This window comes from Homo sapiens, chromosome 19, assembly GCF_000001405.40.
Source record: "Homo sapiens chromosome 19, GRCh38.p14 Primary Assembly".
NCBI lineage: Eukaryota > Metazoa > Chordata > Mammalia > Primates > Hominidae > Homo > Homo sapiens.
In genome coordinates this window covers 16,004,219-16,027,991 of record NC_000019.10, presented here as the reverse complement: position 1 = coordinate 16,027,991, position 23,773 = coordinate 16,004,219, and the positions used below count along the sequence as shown (strand labels likewise).

The 23,773-nt window shown below is 52.8% G+C and overlaps 2 long non-coding RNA genes across 2 annotated transcripts; one reads left to right on the top strand and one right to left on the bottom strand.

Moving 5' to 3' along the window:
• Nucleotides 1–529: 529 nt before the first annotated feature.
• On the bottom strand, nt 530–12,358 carry LINC00661 (long intergenic non-protein coding RNA 661). Its single transcript, NR_026828.1, has 9 exons — nt 12,203–12,358; nt 9,380–9,451; nt 7,365–7,404; nt 6,830–6,910; nt 5,928–6,104; nt 5,290–5,312; nt 4,457–4,682; nt 3,315–3,539; nt 530–2,871 (listed from the first exon to the last, which is right to left on the bottom strand). It is a non-coding gene; the product is annotated as a long intergenic non-protein coding RNA 661 (long non-coding RNA).
• A 577-nt stretch (nt 12,359–12,935) lies between these two features.
• LOC105372291 (uncharacterized) lies at nt 12,936–13,856 on the top strand. The gene is made up of 2 exons (XR_936355.1): nt 12,936–13,021; nt 13,607–13,856. It is a non-coding gene; the product is annotated as an uncharacterized LOC105372291 (long non-coding RNA).
• The last annotated feature ends 9,917 nt before the right edge of the window (nt 13,857–23,773 follow it).

The following is a 23,773-nucleotide window of genomic DNA, read 5'->3' as shown; positions in this document are numbered from 1 at the left end:
AGCCCTGACTTCCCAGGCTCAGGCCATCCCCCGACCTCAGCCCCCTAGCTGGAACTATACAGGCGCGCACCACTAGGTCTGGATAAATTTGTTTTGTATTTTTTGTAGAGACAGGGTTTTGCCATGTCGCACAGGTTGATCTCAAACTCCTGGACTCAAGCAATCCACTGCCTCAGCCTCCCAAAGTGCTGGGATTACAAGCGTGAGCCACTGCACCTGGCCTCTTTAATCATTTTGACTCACTGACATTTCAAATTGACTTCCTTACTTCTGTATGACCATCGCGGTACCCAGGGATTTCTGAGGCAGCAGTAAGTTTGACTTCACGGCAACAGTAGATAATTTAACCTTTAGGTGACAGATTTAGAAACTGTCAATTACCATATGATTTAGCTCAGTAACTACAAAAACATTGAAACTTTGGCATTGCAAGCCAGAATCCCTTCCTGCTCTTTCAATTAAGCAGCTTTTGAATCTCTGTGGCATTTTCCAGCCATTTGTATTTCTCTTACAATAATAATAGCTTAAAACTGATTTTTAAGGTTTAATGTCCTGGGGGACTTACCAGTAATACTTCTATTTAAAACACAGTATAAACCAATTATTCCTGCCTTCAGTATTTGAAACAGTAGAAATTATTTCAACCAACAGATCTGCCCACACCAGTTTTCATGACATATAACACTGAAATTTACAGACATCCCTGAGAAGTTTTTAAGTAAACCAGTGAATCTCAACAGAGTCTCAGTTAACAGTGTAGATCCATTAAAAAAAAAATCTTCTCCAAAAAAAAAAAAAAAATCAAAACCAAAACTCTCCTAAGAACTGAAGCCGAGTGTGTGTTGTCACTGCCTCTATATTTTTAATCCCGATGGGCTGACTCCCTCTTCTCTTCTCTGTAAGACACATTTGCTGAAATCTTCAAGCTGAGTTTCAAGACACTTGCGTGAAGAGGTGATGCTCTAGCCGCCTCTGAGGGAACAGACATCATTATTAGAGATGAGCGTTGCGTCTGCCTCCTCCGCATGCACCAGCATCCATCCTATCATCCACTTGGCCCTGGCAATTGATGGCAGCTGCTCCTCCTGCCTCTCCCACTGCCAGTATGTGATCCTGAGTTAGTCATTCCGTGTGTTAGCCTTGCACCCTTTCAATCAGAAAAGTTGCAGCTTACTGGAAGGAAGAAGGGAGCAGGGAGAAATGCAAAACCAAGAGTCTAAAGGCACAAAGCTGCAAGGCTGCTCTGTGTGTTTGCAAGCAGACTACAGGTGGAATGTAAATCACCCTGATCTACGAGAGTAAAAGGCATCCGCAGCAGGCTCCATCCATCCGGCTTCTTTGAGACTCTTCATGGATTTTGAAGTCTACAAAGTGTGCATAAAAATACTCGTACTTCAAAAAGCAAGAAGGCAAACGGTATAATCTCATGATCTCAAATTTATAACGGTGGTACAGGCCCAGCGAGCCTTTGAGGACCACCGGGTGCGCACCCAGCCTGTCCACCAGTGTGGAGCTGTTTGCTCACTCATCATCCTAGTCATCGTTGCTGCCCTTGTTGGCCTGGCTGCCACCAAAGAGCTGAGGCAACGGCTGCTGGGCGCTGCCACCGTCTGGAAAGCCTGCACTGGCCGCGACACCTGTTGCGGCTGCAGCAGTGGCTGGAAGGCGTCAGGAGGCAGCTTCCAGGTGGTGGGAGGTACAGCGGGCAGGGCCTCGAAGCCTCTGGGCAGCACATTGGCCTGGCGGGCTTGGGGGCCCGGGCTGCTGCTGCTTGCTGGGCTGGGTTTAGGAGCAGGCGTGGATCACTTGCACTGCACAGATGGGGCCGGGAAGAGGCTGCGGTGGCCGTGGCTCTGTAGACCCCTTCGTGCCAACCCCAGATGAGTGCTGTTTGCTGCACAGGCTCAGGACCTCATGCACCTGCTTCAAGATCTTGCCTGGATTCTCCAATGAGAAGTACAGTGCCCAGGTGTGCAGCGCCATGGTCCCCCATGTGGTCATCCTGGTGCCCCTCCCTTCACAGGGCTCTGGTTGAGGCTGGGCCCCGTGTCCTGGGAAGTGTGCCCTGGGATCAGAGCTCTGTCTCATAGGTTGAGTCAGAGGCCACAGGACATGCCGCTGGCTGGTCGGGACTGCAGGAACGCCTTGCTCACTCTTCCCTCTGGTGGCCTCTGAGGGAGTAGGTTTCCCCGTAGAAAGTAGAAAATGAGGTCCAGAGGCACTGGAGCCATCGGGGGCTACAGGGCAGCTGGCCAGGTGCTGGCCAGGTGCTGCCCCGGCTGCCCCCACACCATGCCAGTCACTGCCTGCTGAGAAGTTGGATGCAGGTGCCATTGGGCAAAGTGGATGTCTCTGGACTTGCCTCTTGGTTATTATCACAGTGTCCGGCAGGGCCGGGTTTCAGGGCCCCGGTGGGCTTGCTGGGTCGGTCCCCACCCCATGGTTCTGGGGCTGTCCAGGGCACACGTGTAAGGTCCAGAATCCCTATTCAAAGTTAAACCACAGGCCCCTGACGTCCAGGTCCATGGCAGAGCTTGGGCAGGGAGTTCCAGAGGAGGTACGCAGGACAGCCTATGATCTATCCTGAGTTGGGGACAGCCTGGCCACACCTTGAGCCCGCTGGGGCCCCAAGAGAACAGCCTGCTCCCCTGGGCTCTACAGAAGTCCTCTTGTGCCTCTGGGCCTCAGGGTCAGGGACAGCCTGTGGGGAGCAGGGTGGGGAGGACCAGGCTCTTTTTCTGGAGAGGCTGCCTGCAAGGCTGCTGGAGCTGGACAGCCTGGGGTGGGCCAACCCGTCTCCCTTGCAGAAGGGCTTGCTGTTGGGGGATGCTCGCAGAGTCCTGGGTGCCGGGGACCCTAGTTCCAGTTTCGCTGAAAGGAAAGCAGATGTGTGGCGTCCGCTTCTCCAACTGAGCCCATTAGGTCCTCACAGGGCCGGGCCCCCCAGACCCGGGTCTTTGGAGTCCCTGCGGTCCCTGTGTGGCTCCCTGAGTCCGATGCTGCGGACTCTCCTGCAGGTAGCTGATCCTGGAGTGACAGTTTTGTGTGCGCTTGGGCGGGGGAGCTGTTGGGGCACCTCAGGTTGCTCCTAAGACAGCCCCGAGGGTTTGGGCTGGCTCAAGGCTTCCTGCCTCTCTCTCTCACCCCAGGGCTGTGCCGGCTGGGATGCGGCCCCTGATTCAGAATTCAGATGGGAGAGGCCTTTGCTGTCACCTGGCCCCCTTGCCACCTCACTCGGGGGCCTGTCTCCACAGTGGGTGAGATGGATGGCCCCAGGCCATCCACTCCATGCCAGGACTGGACCATTTCCATACCTGGCTGGACTCTTGGTTCTGGCTCTGGGCCAGGGCTCCTGCCCGTGTCCTCTCCTGGAATCCTCCCTGGGCCAGGGATACTGATTCTCTTGTCTCCACAGCTCAAGGCTTGTTGTCCTGATGCTCTTGGAGGGGGTTCAGGGGTAAGGGGCCCCGCTGCTCTCTGAGGCTGTGGATGCTGCAGGTAGGGCTGTGGGCTTGCAGAGATGGGTCCCCTTCAGCGAGCTTCGAGGGCAAAAGCAGGGCACTGTGGAAGGTGGCAGTGGTGGGGCTTGGAAGAGTCTTTCCCCTGGTTCCCCTGCCTGATCTGCAGCATGTCCAGCACACATGTGCTCAGCACCTGCCCTGAGGACCCACGGGCTTATTTCCAGAAGCTTCTTTTTTGTTTGTTTTTTGTTTTTTGAGATGGAGTTTCACTCTTGTTGCCCAGGCTGGGGTGCAATGGTGTGATCTCGGCTCACTGCAACCTCCACCTCCTGGGTTCAAGTGATTCTCCTGCCTCAGCCTCCCAAGTAGCTGGGATAACAGGCGCCCACCACCACGCCCGGCTAATTGTTTTGTATTTTTAGTAGAGACAGGGTTTCACCATGTTGGCCAGGCTGGTCTCGAACTCCTGACCTCAAGTGATCCACCTACCTTGGCCTCCCAAAGTGTTGGGATTACAGGCGTGAACCACCACGCCCGGCCTCCAGAAGCTTCTTAGAGGGGGAAAAAAGGTGCAGGAGGAAGGCCCAGGTAGTGAGGCTGTAGGGGCCCTGGCCGACTGCCCCAGAGGGTGACTTGGGAGGGGACCTGGTACTGGGGCCCACCTGGGGGTAGCAGGACTCAGCGCCTCCTCATCAGTAACCCCATGGAGACATGAAGGTGCCTGAGCGCCATGGCATCCTCCAGGGCCCAGGCCCGGAAGAACTGGTCCTGGATGAGCTCCCCCAGGCTGGACTGGGACAGCTTCATGAGATGCTCTAGGAGCAGGATGGGCATCAGGCTGGGAGGGGTCCCTGGGAGAGGTTGGTGTCCACACCCTGTTTCCACCATGGCCCCCTCCCACTGGGCAGTGCTGGGTCCTTTTCGGGCCACCCCTGGGGTCCAGCTGTGCACAGGAGGCCACGGCCAGGGGGAGGCCTGGGCAGGAAGGGGCTCACCACACTCCTGCCTTTCATCCGGGTCATGTCGAGGGTGGACTCTGTGTCTGAGAGGTCTCATGGTGTCCTGCCCCTCAGACTGGAGCAGAGGGTCATGGGGACAGGCTGAGGGTGCTGTCTGTCCCGCGTGTTCCCCTGGATAGCCTCGGGCACGCCAGGACTTAACTCTGCCAACTCTGGAGGTTTTGTGCCTTCGGTACATGCTAGCCATCCAGAACGTAGCTGCCTGGCAAGCCCAAAGAGAGTCTTTCGGAACAACAGGAGTGGGAGGACCTGACCCTTCTTAGCTGGGGGCTGGTGGCTTGAGCAGGGCCCATTGGGGTTTCAGTGCCCTGGAGCACCAGGGACCCCTCCCCATGGGATGAGATCCCCCACCCCACTCCCCTGTGAGGCTGGATCAGAAGAGGTCCTGTAGTTCCTCATGGAGGAGACTCATTTCAGTGGGGATGTGGCTCCTGGAAGGAGAGGCTCCCCAAGGGCTTGGGGCTTCCCTGGGCTCTCCCAGGTTGAGTCCTGGCCCTGTCTGCCCATGAGGCTGGGCTGAGCCCCGGCCTCTGCTGTGGGATGTCCCCTCTGGGGCATTGCCTGGCTTATGTGCCCTGCAGGGACACGCCTGTGCCTCCTGCCAGGTGGGGGTGAGCCAGGTCCTCCTCGGGAGCCAGATCTCAGGGCTGGGGGATCCGGGGGATCTGGGGAGTATGGGGCAGGAGGGTCCCTGGGCTGGAGGGCTGGGGGATGCAGGGAGTGTGGGCAGGAGGGGATGCAGGGACTGTGGGGCAGGAGGGTCCCTGGGCTGGGGGCTCCCTGCTTACTTCACTGATGTATGACTGTACCTGCTTACTTCATTGATGAGGCACTGGAGGAGTCAGCGTAAACGTGGAATTATGGGCACGCAGCTCATCTTTGTCCTAATGGGAGCAGCAGAGGTCCTTGGGGCTCCCAGGCCTGCCCCCAAACCTCCCCATTCCAGGCCCCTCTGCAGACCCTTCCCTGAGGGACAGAACACCAGGTGGTGGCTGGGGCACCCCTGACACCTGCCCCCTGCATGGACCCCCGGGACATACTTCCCTTAGCCCTGCTCAGCCCAAGCTCGGCCCGGGTTGAGTGCCTCTGCCTGCTCCAGGGCGGGAAAAGGAAACTCCAGCTCCGAAGCCATGGAGAACTCCATGTCCCTGGCTGGGACTCAGCCTCTTGCCAGCCCCACCAGGGGCTCCAGCCGCCCCTTTACCCCTGGCCCATGGGACCCAGGGCCTCTGGGAAGGAGCCAAGGGGACCGTCTGTTCACCAAGTGCCGCAGGATCTTTGGGAATGACGTTCATAACACGTGCTCCTCGTGGGCTGGCACAGTTTGGGCTAAAGAATCCTGAGAAGCCCCTGACCCATCTTGAAATGAGAGGCCCTCCCAACATGTGGAGCCGTCAGCTGGAAGGGCTCTGACAGGGTTCAGGTGGAGGGGAAATTGGACCCCTGCCTGTTTTCCGATGAAGAAGAGGGCTTCTCGGATCCAAACTCATTTCGTGACGAGAGCCACGTCCATCAGGCACTTCAGCAACTTATTCAAAATGTTTCCTGGGAGGACCGTCCTGGGACACCACCAAGCTCTGGGGGGCTTTGGGGCAAGTCTGGGAGGAGGGCGTCATTACTTGCTCTGTGAAATGGTGGTCAAGCTCAGGTTAGACCAGGGGTCTGGGCCTTGACCTCTTTCCATCTTACTTTGACACCTTTGAGACCCTTCTCCTCCTGCTTGGATGCCCAAGCCAGTAGTGAGCTTGAGTCCTAACTACTGCGTCTTGGTGGGTCGCAAATGCTGAAATTTTTTTTTTTTTTTTTTTTTTTTGAGACAGAGTCTTGGTCTGTCACCCAGGCTGGAGTGCAGTAGCATGATCTCGGCTCACTGCAACCTCCGCCTCCTGGGTTCAAGCGATTCTCCTGCCTCAGCCTCCTGAGTAGCTGGGATTACAGCTGCGTGCCACCACGCCCGGTTCATTTTTGTATTTTTAGTAGAGACGGGGTTTCACCATGTTGGCCAGGCTGGTCTCAAACTCCTGACCTCAGGTGATCCACGCGTCTTGGCCTCCCAAAGTGCTGGGATTTCAGGCGTGAGCCACCGCGCCCGGTCATGAACTCTGATCTTGACCTACTCCTTCCTTCGGGTCACCAGGGGGTGTCCCTACCCCTGAGCTAGGGCTGGCCCTGGCCCTGGCATCAGACTCTCTCCTGGCAAGATGAGGTTTGCAGGGAAGAACAGGAAAGCTGGTGTCCCAGTGTAGTGTCCACCCTCTGAGAGGCTGGGGGTGCCAGGACACAGCCGTGGGAGCCCGTCACCCTGACTCTGTAGAAAGTGGTCACGGGGCCCTTCCCTCCCCATGTCACCTCCTTGCCGCTCCTATGTCGCTGGCAGTCGAGAAGCACCTGGAGCCATTTTTCTGTGTCCCTCATCTCCTGATGTCTTCTCTGTCAAATAAGATGAAGTTAGTGGAGCTGCCAGGATGCCCCTTGGATGCTGGGTCCTGGGCTCCAGGGCCCTGACAGGATCAAACTGGAAGGAGCCAGGAAAGGGCCGGCCCCAGGGAATGGAGACCCTCTGACTGAATGAGCACAGGTGTCCTGGCCTCATGACTTGGGACATGCCATCCTCAGGCCACAGGCACCCCGGGCGTTGGTGGAGTCCCAACATTCAGGTGGGGTCTTGGCACAAGTGGGCAGTGACTGCTGAGCCACGACTGTGGTTCTCGGTTTAGGATTTGATCAAGCCACCATGGGGACAGAGTCTTGAGGTCAGGTCCCGCAGGCCCAGGGACAGCCTGTCGCTCCCACTCATCACCACCCAGGCCCACAGCCTGCTGACCACCCACTGGGTCCCCCTGTCCCTGGACCAACCACTCACACAGCAGGGTCAGGCTCTTACCTTCACTTCCAGGGCACTGATGGGTGGCAGCTACGTCTCACTGTAAGGCAACCCAGGCAGAGCTGAGGACCTGTGCTGGGCCAGGAACTGTCCTCCTCCTCCCCTAGTGGGCCCCAGGAAAGAACCAGCCCTGTCCCCCACCCCCGCCCCAGGTCTCCATCCAGGGGACACACAGGGAAGGGAGGACCGGTGCTTCCCTGCCAGCTGGCGCCTGGGAGGGGCTGGGGCCTGGGAGAAGAGGGAACTAGGGCCCACCCAACAGGGGCTGCCTGGGGCTTGTGGAGGGCGAGGCTTGGATTGCACAATGGGGGTGCCCCTCCTGGGCTAGGCAGCACACTCTGCGGGAGCTCAGAAAATCCAGGCCTGAGGCGGGATGGGTGTGGCCCAGGGTGGGTGGTCCGGTCCCAACAGCATTTCCCGAGGGAGTGACCACATCACTGGCCCGAGGCCTGCCCAGGGCACTGAGGGTGCGCCGGGGCCCTGTCCCACTTGATGCCCCCAAGGGCCCTCGTGGGGCCTGACCTTCCAGCATACACCTGCCTCTCCCTGCACCCCGGCTGCTGACCCTGCCTGTTCCTTGACTTTGCCCATCCTCTCTGGCCCAGAGACTGGACAGCCTGGCCCTTCTTCGACCCTCATCTGTCAGAACCCTTGAGAGAGGGCCCTGGATCCATCCACACGCCTGCCTTGACCGCTCTCTCACTGGGCTGCTAAGTGCTGCCGGGGAGATGCCAGAGGTGACGAGGGTGAGCAAGAGCCCCGCGGGCAGCCGGGATGGCCACACAGCCCCGTCTCCAAACTCAGCTGGCTCTCGGGGCTGTCGTCCATCCATCAGTCCTTGCCCTCCTCTGAGCCACTGTGGCAGCCATGCACTGGGCCCCTGGTTGTTCCCCCACTGTCTTGCCTGCCCCTACTCGGCCTTCCTGCTCCTCCCTCTGCCTTTGTGCTGACGGATCCAGCGGGGAGCCAGGGTCTCCGGAGGGCCATGCAGAGCCCTGGGGACTGACTGAGGCCCCTCTGCTAAAGCCCCACCTCATGTGTTGTTCACCCCAGGCCATCAGCTCCACCCTAGGCTGGCTCCATTCAGGTGCGTCCCAGAAGTGGCACCTCCCGTGGGATCGTCCCCAACCAACCTCCCCCAGGCTCCTCCCTCTCTCTGTCCTGTGACTCCTGAGGGGCAGGCTCCAGGCTGGGCTCCCCTTCCCAGGACCCAGGCTCCCTCTCAGCACCAAGGCAGGTTGCCTTCAGCTGCAAGTTCTGCTGCATCCCTGCCCTCACCCTGACATGCCCTGGCTGACACCCTGCCCGTCTTCCCCTCCGCCCTCCCAGGGGTATGGCCCTCACTGCCCCCCACGCCCCTCCCTGTAGGGTGGCTCAGCTGGGCCCCCTGAATCCTCAGAGACCTGCTGGACAACTGCCCACAGGCTGGGCCAGGCACCCCCTTGCCCTGTGGCCACAGCCTGCGGGTCTCACTGGGGCAGGGCCCAGGGTGACAGGGCCAGACCCTCAGGCTGTTCCCTACTCTCATGCTGCCTTTGAGACTGCTCTGCTGAGAGCCTCTCCATCCCCACCTGCTCCCCCAAGATCCCTAGATGAGCCTCGCAGCTCTGGCCTGCTGCAGACCACCTGCAGGGTAGCCAGCTGGCATTCCTACCCTGGAAAGGAGGCTGGCCCAAGCTGGGAAGACGTGTCCTGCCTCAGAGAGGCTTTTCTAAAAACAAAACTCATCCTCTGAGGTGAGTTTGGTGATGGTCGGGCAGCAGGGACAGAGGACTCACTGCAGAATCTCGAGGCGATCGGTAACTTTGTAAGCTGTCCACATCCTTGGGCCCTACAGCGTCCCTGGGACCCAGAGGGGTCCAGAGTGAGGGGGCTGAGGTGAAGGGCTGTGGGGGCACAAAGGCATGGGCAACCAGCTCCCACCCTGCTTCCTAAGGGAGCCCAGGATCCTCCCACCAGGGCACAGTGGGAGAGGCGAGGCCCCACCTCTCTCGAGGGAGCAGCCCGACCTGTACCTGCTCACACTGGGCAATGATGCCCCCTGCTCCTGTGCAAGTAGGGTAGCCACGTCTTCCTCCACGTCCATCCTGTGAGACAACATCGCCCAAAGGCAACGCTGCACCTGAGCGCTTCAGAGAACATCTGAACCGCTCCCGGGGGCTCTGAGACACCGCCGGCCGGGTGAGCCCCATGCCACCACAGCCCTGGGTGAAGACCCAGTGGCCCCATGCCTGCTGGGGTCTCTGGAGTCTCTGCACCTGACAGGGGGACCTGGACACAGAGGCCTGTTGTCCCCAGACGCCCAGAGACAGGCACACACAGGATGAACTGCGTCCACCTGCCAAGGGTGAGGGGCTCCTGATGCGCTATCCTGGGCACCTGGAGGCAGACTGGGGTCAGGGACCAGAGAGCTCCATATGCTCAGCCTCCCAGATCGCTCAGGGACCACCAAGAGGCCCACTTTCCTACAGGGAACAAGACACCTTGTGACTCCTCCATTTCACCCCCATCTCCACTCCTTCTGGCCAGAGAAGCCGCGTCAAGAATAATACCAGCCAAATGGGAGGGTGCTTGGTTTGGGCCAAAGCAGCCTCTGTGCTCACGGAGATGTCTCAGGTGGCGGGATGGTGGATCCCACAGTTCTGAGCTGTCAATACAGGAAGGGGCCTCGTGTTTCCGGATCACCAAGAAAGAATGAGAGAACTCTGGGGACTTGGTTCTGGAGAACCCCAGAGGGACCCCTCCCATGAACAGTCAGGGCAAAGAAAGGGCGAGGCCTCTAGGGGACCAGGCAGAGAAAGGGCCACGTGGGGAAAAGCCCCAGACCTGGCGAAAAGGAGGAATGATCATTACCTTCTGGCCAGCCCTCTGGACCTCCGTCATTTTCCACAACTGCCCAAGGATAGAGGGCTCCCCACCCCACTCCCAGACGAGGGACCCAGTATGTCCAGTGGGTTCCACAGCAACCCCCACTGACTGCACCCGAAGTCTGGGTTGATGAGATCTCCCCCTGTGGGGACCCATCTTAGAGCACAGACTTGGACGGAGGACCACCCTCCACCCCACCCACAGGGGCTCCATCCTGGGGGCTCTTCTAGGGCGAGGCTCAGCTCCACTGGGGTCAGAAACCCCAGGCAGATGTGCAATCCAGAACACGGAGGTCACAGAGGTCAAGGCTTGAGTTCAGCATGGCACAGGCCAGGGCTGAGAGCATGGCCCAGGGCCACGTCTGGGTCTCTGGGCCAGTTACTGCCCCTCTGACCTCAGGCGTCTCACCTATTCAGTGGGTACATTTGAGGAAAGCACCCCTCCACCCCGCCATGGAGTCGCCGTGAGGATGAAGGAGACGACTGTTTGCATGGTCAGCATAGAACGGGCACCCGGTGAGTGCTCATGGATGACCCTCCTCGGGTAGCTGCCACCCACCTGGTTGTGACTGTCCCCAAGTCAGCAGGGGGGAAGAGAGCAGGTCACGCTTTCCTGAGTCTGATCAGGCAGCGGTGCTGAGATGTGCTTCTCACCCAGAAAAGGGTCCTTTCTGCACAACCACTTACAGCACCTCTGTGTCTCCAACTGCTCCATGACACGGAGGTAGGCTGGCGGCACTTGGCACAGTGACAGCATGGGTTCACAGCCTCTGTCATGACGGGGCCCTACCTGGCTCAGCAGGGCCCAGGGTCAGCGTCCTCTGCCCGCTTAATGGTCAACATGTATGCGTGCAATTTGTCTGTGTATGTGAGGATGCATGTGTGTGGGTGAACACGTCTCTCCTCCAGCTGGGCCTGGCTGCTCCACTCAGGTGTGCACCTGGATCCCTGTCACTGTCACCCCCGGGCCTGTGGCCAGCATCAGAGCACCCATAGGTGCTCCTCAGCCTCTGCTCTTTCCATGCTGGGTGGTCCTGGGGATGCAGATGGGGCAGGGACATAGGGCAAAGGGCAGAGGGCAGAGGGCAGAGGGCAGAAGCCAGGCTTCCCCCTTGGGGTGACTCGCGTAGTGTGTAAAGTGCCAGGTCTGTGTGGCAGGGCTGGATTCAATGCAATGCACCCTCTCACCTCCTCCTCCCAGAAGCCCACTGGGGTGCTGTGACTCACCCCCCACCCCATGGATGGAGGCAATCACGGAGGCTTCGAGGACTAACCCGTGGCCTGAGATCACCCAGGATCCCACTGGCCAGGCTTCCAATGGTTAAGCTCCCACTGAACAGGTCCTAGCTGACCACCCCCACAATGACCAGGTCCCACTGACCAGATGTGGACTGACCAGGTCCTGCTGACTGGGCCCCACAGACCAGGCCCTGGCTCATCAGACACCACTGACAAAGGCCACAATAACAAGGCTGCAACTGACAAGGCCCTCACGGCCCTCACTGACTAGGTCCCAACTGATGGACCCCACCAAATAGATCTCACTAATCAGACCCCCGCTGACCAGGCCCTAACAACTGCTGGACCCCTGCTGGCCAGGCCCCAAATGCTGAACCCCACTCACCAGGCCCCAAAAGCTGAACCCCACTGACTGGGCCCCAAATGCTGGATCCCTGCTGACAGGCCCCAACTATGGGATCCCCACCAACCAGGCGCCAACTGTCAGACCCCTGCCAACCAGGCCCCGGACGCTGGACTCCACTGACCATGTCCCAGCTACTGGACCCCCACTGACCAGGCCCCAACAACTGCTGGACTGCACTGATCAAGCCCAAACTGCCAGACCCCACTGACTGGGCCCCAACTCCTAGACCCCTCCTGACTGAGCCCCAACTGCCAGACCCTTGCCAACCAGGCCTCTTCTTATGAGACCCCTGCTGACCAGACCCCAACTGCTGGGCCCCTGCTTACCAGGCCCCCACATCCACACCTCACTGACTAGGCCTCACTGCTCTGATCCCCGCCGATCAGGCCCCAAATGCCGGGCCCAGATGACCAGGCCTCAACTGCTAGACGGCCCACCAACCAGGCCTCAGCTCCTGGACCCCTGTTGACCAGGCCCCAACTGCCAGACCCCAATGACCAGGCCCCAACTGCCAGAGCCCTGCTGACCAGGTTCCAACTGCTGGATCCCCTTTGACCAGGCCCCAACTGTTGGACCCCCGACAACCAGGTCCCAACTGCCTGATTCCGCCAACCAGGCCCCAACTGGTAGACCCCTGCTGACCAGGTCCCAACTGCGAGACCCATGCAGATGAAGGCCCAGCGTCCAGACCTCACTGCCTAGACCGCACTGATCTGATCCTCACTGACCAGGCCCCAACCGCCAGACCCCACCTACCAGGTCCCAGCTGCTGCATCCCTGCCAAATAACCCCCAGCTGCCGTATCCCCTCTGACCAGGCCCCAACTGCTGGACCCCCTCCAAACAGGCCCCAACTATAAGACCCCGCTGACCAGGCCCCAACTGCCAGACCCCCATGGACGAGGCTGCAACTGCCAGATCTCTGCTCACCAGGCCCCAACTGTGGGACCCCCGCTGGCCAGACCCCAACCATGAGACCCTCGCCAAACACGCCCCAACTACTGGACTCTTGCTGGCCAGGCCCCAACCCCCAGGGCCTAGTCAGTCAGTGAGACCTGACTAGGTCTCACTGATCAGATCCCCGCTGACCTTGCCCCAGCTGCAGACCCCTATTGACTGTGGGCGGAGGATTACCCAGGTGCCGAGGTGAGAGACTGAAGACACAAACTGTTTCAGTATAATAAAGAAAATAGTTAGAATAAGAATAGTCATAATACAAATTAGATATAGAGATGATCATGGACAATTATCAATCATTATTATAAACATTATTAATCATTAGCTTTTAATATTACTCTTTGTTGCGTTACTAACATAACCTAGGAATAACTGGCGGGTAGAGGGTCAGGTGCTGAAGGGACATTGTTAGAAGTGACCTAGAAGGCAAGAGGTGAGCCCTCTGTCAACGCGTGCATAAGGGCAGCTTGAGGGCTCCTTGGTCAAGCGGTAACGCCAGTGTCTGGGAAGGCGCCCGTTACTTAGCAGACTGCGAAAGGGAGTCTCCTTTCCTTGGAGGAGTCAGGGAACACTGCTCCACCAGCTTCTTGTGGAAGGCTGGATATTATCTAGGCCTGCCGCAGTCATCCGGAGGCCTAAACCCCTCCTTGTGGTGCTGTGCTCCAATGGTCACTTTCATGTTCCTCCCGTACTCCTGGTTCCTCTTTGAAATTTGTAGTAGATAGCGGTAGAAGGAATAGTGAAAGTCTTACAGTCTTTGATCTTTCTTGTAAGTGCATAGAAGAAAACGCTGACGTATGCTGCCTTCTCTCTCTCTGCTTCGGCTACCTAAGAGGGAAGGGCCCCCTGTGCTGTGATCACGTGACTTGCTTCACCTTGTCAATCACTTAGAAGATTCACCCTCCTGACCCTACGCCCCTTGTCTTGTATGCAATAAATATCAGTGTGCCCAGCCATTCAGGGCCACTACTGGTCTCCGCGTCTTGATGGTAGTGGTCCCTCGGGCCCAGCTGTTTTCTCTTTATCTCTTGGTCTTGTGTCTTTATTTCTTACGCTCTCTCGTCTCTGCACACGGGGAGAACACCCGCTAAGTCCCGTAGGGCTGGACCCTCCAATCAACCAGGTCCCAACTGCTGGACCCCACTGACCAGGCCCCAGGAACTGCCGGCCGCCTGCTGACCAGGCCCCACTGGTCCGATCCCCACTGAGCAGTCCCCTGCTGATCAAACCCCACTGACCAGATTTTCCATGACCTGACCCTCATTGAATGGATCCCGTTAAGCCGACCACAATGACCATGTCCTCACTGACCAACACCCCCGTGAGTAGGCCCCCCCACTGACTAGGCTTCTGATGACCAGGCCCACACTGCCAGGGCCCCACTGACCAGACCACATGACATGGCCCCACAGACCAGGCCCCACTGACCCAAACCACTGACTGGTCCCAACTGGCCAGGAGCTCAATGACAAGGTCACTGCCAACAGTGCCCCTTACAACCAGGCCTCCACTGACCAGGGCCCCACTGAGTAGGCCCCACTGGGGAGTCCTTCGGTGGCACCGCATTAGCTGACCACACCCCTGACAACCAGGTCTCTGCTGACATGGTCCCCACAGAACACGTCCCCATTGACCAGGTCCCAAATAACCAAATCCCATGGACCGGGATCTGCTGACTAGGCCACACTGACATGCTTCCAATGGTGAGACCTTCGCTGACTGAGCAGGACCACACCGCCAGGCCTCAGCTGACTAGACCACAATGACGAGGTTTCCACTGACCAGGTGCTAACCGCCCAACCCCTACTAACGAGGCTCTACTTTTCAGATCCCGCTGACCAGACCCCCAGTGACCAGGCCCCTACTGAACAAAATACCACTCCCTACACCCCCACTGACTAGGTTTTTTGTTGTTTGTTTTTGAGATGGAGGCTGCCTCTGTCACCCATGTTGGAGTACAGTGGTGTGATCTTGGCTCACTGCAACCTCCACTTCCTGATTAGGTTCAAGTGATTCTCCTGCCTCAGCCTCCCGAGTAGCTGGGACGACAGGCACATGCCACCACGCCTGGCTATTTTTTGTATTCTTAGTAGAGGTGGGGTTTCACCATGTTGGCCAGACTGGTGTCAAACTCCTGACCTCAGGTGATCTACCCACCTCGGCCTCCCAAAGTGCTGGAATTACAGGCATATTCCACCATAACTGGCTAATTTTTGCATTCTTAGTAGAGGTGGGGTTTCACCATGTTGGCCAGACTGGTGTCAAACTCCTGACCTCAGGTGATCTATCCACCTTGGCCTCCCAAAGTGTTGGAATTACAGGCATGAGCCACCGTGCCTGGCCCACTGACTAGATTTTTACAGATAAGGCCCATACTGAGCAGACCCCAGTGACCAATTCCTCACCGAGCAAAACCCCACTGACTTAGATCCTGCTGACCGGGCTTCCCCCTCACTGACAAGACTCTGGCTGACCAGGTCACCACAGACAAGGCCCGCAATGACTATGTCCCATTGACTGGGCTTTTGATGACCAGGCCCCCATGGACCACAAAAGTGAATGACCAAGGCAAAGTCTCAAATCATCCAAGTTTATTGAGCCAGTGTGAGGACCCGCCAGGGAAAATGTGGGTCACAGAAGCACCTGTGGCTGTTATAGATATACGTGTCCCTGTGATAAATCAAGCAGCTGACCAACCATTACCTCTCCCTTCCTGCTCTTTCCATCTATTAAATACGAAGGGCTGTAGAAGCTCAGGGCCTTTGCTCACTAGAAGCGAGGAGCCCCCTGATCCTTCTTTCAAAACAGATCTTTTTGTCTTTGTCTTTATTTCTGCATCCGTCCCCCTTCATTCACTCCCAAACTGACAGCGCTACTTCATGTAGTATGATTTTATTGTACTAAATTAGTCAAATATGTCTCTCATGGACTTCAGGAGATCTAATATAAAAAATAATGAGGTCACAAAGACTGAATTTAGAAGTTGATTTTGGAAAGTTAGTCAAATATCGAAAGTCTATGACACTTAATATCACAAAATAGGATCATAGGTGATTGTCTAAAGTCATTCATTTAGCCAAAGTAGTAACTCAGACACTTCAAAAAAATGCAAAGACCTTAAATTATTATTTTTTGAGAGAGGAGACTTACTTTCCTAAATAATAAGCCCTAATAAGGGACAAGGTATGGGGCCAGTTTCTCAATCTTATAAACAAGCTTCAATCATCTTGACCATAAGATATAATTTATATAAGCCAGATGCTGGTCTTGCTTCAGTGTGCCTTTAACATTAATGTTTAAGTTATAGAGAAACTCTGAACTAATTTCATCTCTCAAAATTGGCCCTTACAATCTTGCATGCTCACCTTTTCCATGATAGTCCCTGGGTCTAGAGGGGTTCAATAATAATAGTTTTAATTTCTGGCCTTGTGTCTCACGAACACAGTTTATTTTGATTGTAATCTTCTCTAGGGTCCAAAAATGAGGCTTTAACTGCTGTCAGTGTTTAAAATTTTGCAGGTCTTGGTGTCCTTTTTAGACCCAGGAGTCAAAGTCCTGTAACTTAAGAGCACAAGGACTTTAAAAGTAATGCCGAAAGTTACATTAATGTCATAATCTTAATTTTTTACAATCTCAGTTTTCTTAGGAAAATCAATAATAACAATAACATAGGAATTATTTTGATAAGATGAAACATTTGCTTGTTACATCAGTTACCAAAAGGCAAAAAAAAAAAAAAAAAGACCTTTTGGCCGGGCGCAGTGGCTCATGCCTGTAATCCCAGCACTTTGGGAGGCCGAGGTAGGTGGATCACGAGGTCAGGAGATCGAGACCATCCTGACTAACACGGTGAAACCCCGTCTCTACTAAAAATACAAAAAAATTAGCGGGGTGAGATGGCGGGCGCCTGTAGTCCCAGCTACTCGAGAGGCTGAGACAGGATAATGGCGTGAACCCGGGAGGCAGGGCTTGCAGTGAGCTGAGATCACGCCACTGCACTCCAGCCTGGGCGACAGAGCAAGACTCCATCTCAAAAAAAAAAAAAAAAAAAAAAAAAAAAGACCGTCTGCAGTGTGATTGCTTTTCTCCATGGGGAGTCCATTTAGATAAGCTGCAAGTCAAATCTAATGAAAATTGTACTGATTTAGACACAGAGTGTGTCCCGAGTCATAAGTGAGTTTTTAATTTCATAGACGAATTTAAAGCCAAGAGCACAAGAATGTTATATTAGATGAAAACATTTCCTTTAGACTTTAAGACAAAACATTTCTGACATCAGGCCACATCAGTTAGAATGTGATGAAAAACAGTTACAGAGGCCGATGAAAAGTTGAAAGAGACAGTTACTATCTCAGAACTTCTTGAAGGGGAGAGAAAGCTGAATACAGCAAGAGATGCAATAAAAGTTGAACTTTTGGGTTAAAAATTAAAACTTTTTATAATTTTATTAAGAGTAAATCAATACTGTAAGAAAATTTACTCGTTCTAACCAATTCTTTAGGGTTTTTTTTTTTTTTTTTTTGAGAAACAGTCTCTGTTCCCCAGTCTAGAGTGCAGTGGTGCCAACTCAGCTCACTGCAGCTTCTAACTCCTGGGCTCAAGTGATCCTCCTACCTCAGTCTCCTGAGTAGCTGGGACTACAGGTGTGCACCACCAAGCTTGGCTAAGTTTTGTATTTTTTGTAGAGACAGGATTTTGCCACTTTGCCCAGGTTGGTGTGTTAGTGCATTTTATTTATTTTTTTATTTTTGAGACGGGTCTCGCTGTGTCGCCCAGATTGGAGTGCAGGGGTGTGATCTTGGCTCACTGAAACCTCCGTCTCCCAGGTTCAAGTGATTCTCCGGCTTCAGCCTCCAGAGTAGCTGGGATTACAGGTGCCCACTACCATGCCCAGCTAATTTTTTTTTATATTTTTAGTAGAGGTGGGTTTTGCCATGTTAGCCAGACTGGTCTTGAACTCCTGACCTCAGATGATCTGCCTGCCTTGGCCTCCCAAAGTGTTGGGATTAGCGGCGTGAGCCCCTGCACTCGGCCAAGATAATTCTCTTCTGGGCTGCATTTATAGCTTGATAACCCTCACGCCAAATCTTGACATCTTATGATATTTAGCAGAGATAAATATAAAACTGCTTGACCAATACATCTAAACAATAACTTATGTTGACAATTCTGAAGACATTTCTAATTTTATTTTACCAGTAATTTTAAATCCAGCTTATTTATTAAAGATTTACTTAAGTCACATGAACTGGAAAAGTATTTGGGTTTATTTACTTAATTTATAGGTATTCTTTTATTTTAAAGCCAAATTGGTATCTTGTGGCCACAATAGCAAAACACGTGTAAATACACATAAACACATCTAAACATGAGTGCGTGTGTGTGCACACACACACGTACACAAATAAAGATATTATAGACTGGACGCAGCGGCTCATGCCTGTAATCCCAACAGTCTGGGAGGCTGAGGGAGGCAGATCACTTGAGGTCAGGAGTTTGCGACGAGCCTGGCCAACATGGTGAAACCCCATCTCTACTAAAAATACAAAAAAAAAAAATTAGCTGGGCTTGGTGGTGGGCGCCTGTAATCCCACCTACCCAGGAGGCTGAGGCAAGAGAATCGCTTGAACCTGGGAGGCAGAGGTTGCAGTGAGCCGAGATCGCGCCATTGCACTCCAGCCTGGGCTGGAGTGAGACGCAAAAAAAAAAAAAAGATCATATAGCTTTTACTTTAGAACTCTAGCCATTAATATCAAATAGAAACTTACCACTTCACACACACACGCAAATGGTTAGATACAGTGGTTTTAATCTCAATGCCAGTAGAAAGGTCCTTTAAATTAGAAAAAATTGTATTTTCTTAAGCAAAAAAGACATCGTCATGTTTTTTATAAACGTCACCAAAAACACATCTTACTCTCCTACTATTCTAACTCTTAGAACCCTAATTCCCAGCGAAAACCCTAGGATTACTTAACATAACATGATTTAAAGATTTTAAATTCCTCAAAATAATTTTGAGACTAAATTTACCAAGTTAATCTTACCAAAGATTACTAAAGTCGTGTGAACTGGAAAGCCTCTGAGCTAGCTTTTACTAGTCTGATAAACATTTACTTTTCTATTTTTTTTTTTTTTTGAGACAAGGTCTCACTCTGTCACCTAAGCTGGAGTGCAATGGTGTGATCATGGCTTACTGCAGCCTTGACCATCTGAGTTCAAGCCATCTTCCCACTTTGGTCTCCCAAAATGCTGAGATTACAAGTATGAGCCACCATGCTCAGCCAGCTTTTCTTCTTTTTTTTTTTTTTTGTAGAGACAGAGTCTTGCCATGTTGCCCAGGCTCGTCTCAAACTCCTGGGCTCAAGCCATCCTTCTGCCTCAGCCTCTCAAAGTGCTGGGATTACAGGCGTGAGCCACCATGTACAGCCAACTTTTTTTTTCTTGTTTACTTTAAAATTTTTATTATTTATTTATTCTTAACCCAGCCTTGCTTAAAGAACCACCTTTTTTTTTTTTTTTGAGATGGAGTCTCACTCTGTCACCCAGGCTGGAGTGCAGTGGTGCGATCTCGGCTCACTGCAACCTCTGCCTCCCGGGGTCAAGTGACTCTCCTGCCTCAGCCTCCCGAGTAGCTGGGATGACAGGCACGCACCACCATGCCCAGCTAATTTTTGTATTTTTAGTAGAGACAGGGTTTCACCATGTTGGCCAGGATGCTCTCGATTTCTTGACCTCGTGATCCACCCGCTTGGCCTCCCAAGTGCTGGGATTACAGGCATGAGCCACCGCACCCGGCTTGAACCAACCTTTCTTTAAACCAACTAATGAGAGCTCTTTTATATGATTGATAGTGAAATCGTATTTCCACATGACACATATTAACATATAGACATAAGAGATCCAAACAGAAGTAGATCTTATAGTATATTTCCTGAGTGCCTCAATGAAACAGCCCTGAAATAGAACGGGATTTTCAACTTTCTCCTGAGTTATTTCTCCCATCTTATCATAAAAAACTGGCTTAACTGCACACTTTTTCCTACCATGTATTAAACAAATTAGCATATGGTTTCTGTGTTTGAGATCTTGAGATTTTCTCTGATAATCCTACTGGGGTCTAGATCTGGAACCACATCCCCTCCCACATGATAAATGGTATGGCCTGGTGTATTATCAGGGTTCTCTAGAGGGACAGAACTAATAGGATAGATGTATATATAAAGGGGAATTTAGCCCGGCATGGTGGCTCATGCCTGTAATCCCAGCACTTTGGGAGACCAAAGCAGGCGGATCACTTGAGGTCAGGAGTTGGAGACCAGCCTGGCCAACGTGGTGAAATCCCATCTCTAATAAAAATACAAAAATTAGCTGGGTGTGGTGCTGCACGCCTGTAATCCCAGCTACTTGGGAGACTGAGGCAGGAGAATCACTTGAACCCGGGAGGCAGAGGCTGCAGTGAGCTGAGATCGCGCTCCTGCACTCCAGCCTGGGCGACAGAGCTAGACTCCATCTCAAAAACAAAAAAGCGAAACAACAAATCTAATTATACAACCATTATAATGTAAAGAACCATGCCTAGGCCAAATCTGTTGGTTTGCCAACTTGAATTGAACCCAAACATATTGCAATAGTAAATGATTTTTTTCTTTTTCAACTTGCCCAATAATTTGAACTTATTCCAATTGCCTGAAAGACATCCTAGTGGCAAGTTCCTTGGGATGCTTGGTGATGTCCTTATGTTTAGTAAAGATCACTACAAGGGGTTTCAGTTAGCCTAAGTTTAGCAAATGCCTTTTCACTTTTCCCTTTTACTTCTTTTCCTTTTTTTTTTTTTTTGAGACAGGGTCTTACTCTGTCCCCCAGGCTGGAGTGCAGTGGCTTGATCTTAGCTTACTGCAACCTCTGCCTCCCAGGCTCAAGCAATTCTCCTGCCTCAGCCTCCCAAGTAGCTGGGACTACCGGCGTGCGCCATCGTACCTGGCTCATTTTTGTACTTTTTGTAGAGACAGGGTCTCACTATGTTGCCCAGGCTGGTCTCGAACTCCTGGGCTCAAGTGATCCACCTGCCTTGGCCTCCCCAAGTGTTGGGATTACAGGTGTGAGCCACCATACCCAGCCCACTTATCCCATTTAATTTCCCACTTTATATAGATAGCAAAATGTTACAAAAGTGGATTATGAGCTTCAAATGGGCAGTTGGATGTTAAGCCTAAATTCCACAGAAAATGAGCATTACCCAGAGAGGGGGGCCAACCAAATAGTGACTGTGTAAGCGAGGAAGGGAAGGGTAAACATTGCACAAAGGGAGACCTTACGGTCCTTGACTTGCCAGAGAACTTACGTAGTAGTGAAGACGCCAAAAAAAAAAAAAAAATTAATGTGGCCACTTGTCTATTGCTGTAGGTGGCTGTCTGTCAGGCCAGGGGCCTGGGAACTCCCAATTCCTTTGACCAAGAGGGGCTCGAGCAAGGCAATTGGTAAGACAGTACACAGGAAAGGGCTAGCAACTGGCTATTAGGAAAATAGTGCTTCTTTTTTTTTTTTTTTTTTTTTTTTTGAGGCAGAGTCTCGCTCTGTCCCCCAGGCTGGAGTGCAGTGGCACAATCTTGACTCATTGCAACCTCTGCCTCCCGGGTTTAAGCGATCCTCGTGCCTTAGCCTCCCAAATAGCTGGGATTACAGGCGCCTGCCACCACGCCTGGCTAAATTTTGTATTTTTAGTAGAGATGGGGTTTCACTATGTTGGCCAGGCTGGTCTTGAACGCCTGACCTCAAGCAATCTACCCATCTTGGCCTCGCAAAGTGCTGGGATTACAGGAGAGAGTCACTGTGCTTGGCCAGGAAGATGGTACTAACTTTAGGGCAGAAAAAGACATGACCAATGTTCCCTTAGAGGGAGGGCTATAATCCATAATCCTACAGGGAATGTCAATGTTGAAAACCCCAGAGCATCCAGGGGGTGGCCAACATAACAAAGCTGAAGACTCAGAAGTGCCCAAGTTTCAGTCAACGAGGGTCCCCTCACCAATGCCAAAAACCCTGGGGCACCCCAGGGGTGGCCAAAAGTGAACCCAAGTTGGGGACACAGAACAACTCTGGTTCTGATGTCCCAGAGTCAACACAACGGAAGACCGCTCACAACCAAGTGTCCCACAGTAGTCAATTGCCCATGGAGAGTTAACAGAAAGTTAAAAGCAAATGTAACACTGCACATATTTTAGGGCTGAAAATAAAATGACTGGCGGAGACATAAAATGGAGTCAGAAGGGAAAGGACTGCAGGAAGGGGTGACAAGGACGTGCTTTGGGGCACTCATATAACGAGCTACTACTGGGGGATCACCTGGCCAAAGGCTCTTATGTTATCCTATAGTTCTCCCAAGACTGCGGGGGTGAGGGCAGAAGGGACATCCCTCATCCACCAGAGGAGAAATGGTATTGACTGCTCTGCCTGGGTGGGTGAATGAATATCTTTTTTTTTTTTTTTTCAAGATGGAGTTTCGCTCTTGTTGCCCAGGCTGGAGTGCAGTGGTGCAATCTCGGCTCACTGCAACCTCCGCCTCCCGGGTTCAAGCAATTCTACTGCCTCAGCCTCTTGAGTAGCTGGGATTATAGGCACCCACCACCACAACCAGCAAATTTTTCTATTTTCAGTAGAGACGGGGTTTCACCATGTTGGCCAGGCTGGTCTCAAACTCCTGACCTCTGGTGATCCACCTGCCTTGGCCTTCCAAAGTGCTGGGATTACAGGCGTGAGCCAATGTGCCTGGCCAGGGTGAATGGATATCTCTCCAGCATCCCTCAGCTTGGGTGGGCTCGGCTGTCATGGTGCGAGGGGCCTGCATGGGGACCAGTAACCCACTGGTCTGCCAGTCCAATTGGTGGGTCCCACACAAGGCAGCAGCACTATGGCCACTGGCCCATCTGCTCAGTTCCACTGCCTGCCAGGGAAAATGATGGCTCAGAAAAGAGCCTTTGGTTAGGCTGGGCACGGTGGCTCACACCTGTAAAGGACATAATCTCGTTCTTTTTTATGGCTGCATAGTATTCCATGGTGTATATGTACTACAGTTTCTTTATCCAGTGTATCATTGACGGGCATTTAGGTTGATTCCATATCTTTGCTATTGTGAATAGTGTTGCAGTGAACAGAGGTGTGCATGTGTCTTTTAAAAATAGAACAATTTCTATTCCTTTGGGTATATACCCAGTAATGGGATTGCTGGGTCAAATGGTGGTTCTGTTTTTAGCTCCTTGAGGGATAACCACACTGCTTTCCACACTGATTGAGCTAATTTACACTCCCAACAACAACGTATCAGTGTACCTTTTTCTCTGCAACCTCATCAGCATGTTTTTTTTTTTTTTTGACGTTTTTAACAGCCATTCTGATTGGTGTTAGACGGTATCTCATTGTGGTTTTGATAAGCATTTCTCTAATGATCAGCGATGTTGAGCTTTCTATTATATGCTTGTTGGCTGCATGTATGCCTGCTTTTGAAAAGTGTCTGTTCATGTCCTTTGCCCACTTTTTAATGGAGTTGTTTATTTTTCTGTTGTACATTTGTTTAAGTTTCTTATAGATTCTAGATATTAGACCTTTGTCAGATGCACAGTTAGCAAAATTTTTTCCCATTCTGTAGGTTGTCTGTTCACTCTGTTGATAGTTTCCTTTGCTGTTTAAAAGCTTTTTAGTTTAATTAGATCCCATGTGTCAATTTTTGCTTTTGTTGCAGTTGCTTTTGGCTTCTTTGTCATGAAATATTTGACCATGTCTATGTCCTGAATGGTATTGCCTAGGTTGTCTTCCAGAGTTTTCATAGTTTTGGGTTTTTCATTTAAGTCTTTAATCCATTTTGAGTTAACTTTTGTATGTGGTATAAGGAAGGGATTCAGTTTCAATCTTCTGCGTATGGCTAGCCAGTTATCCCAGCACCAT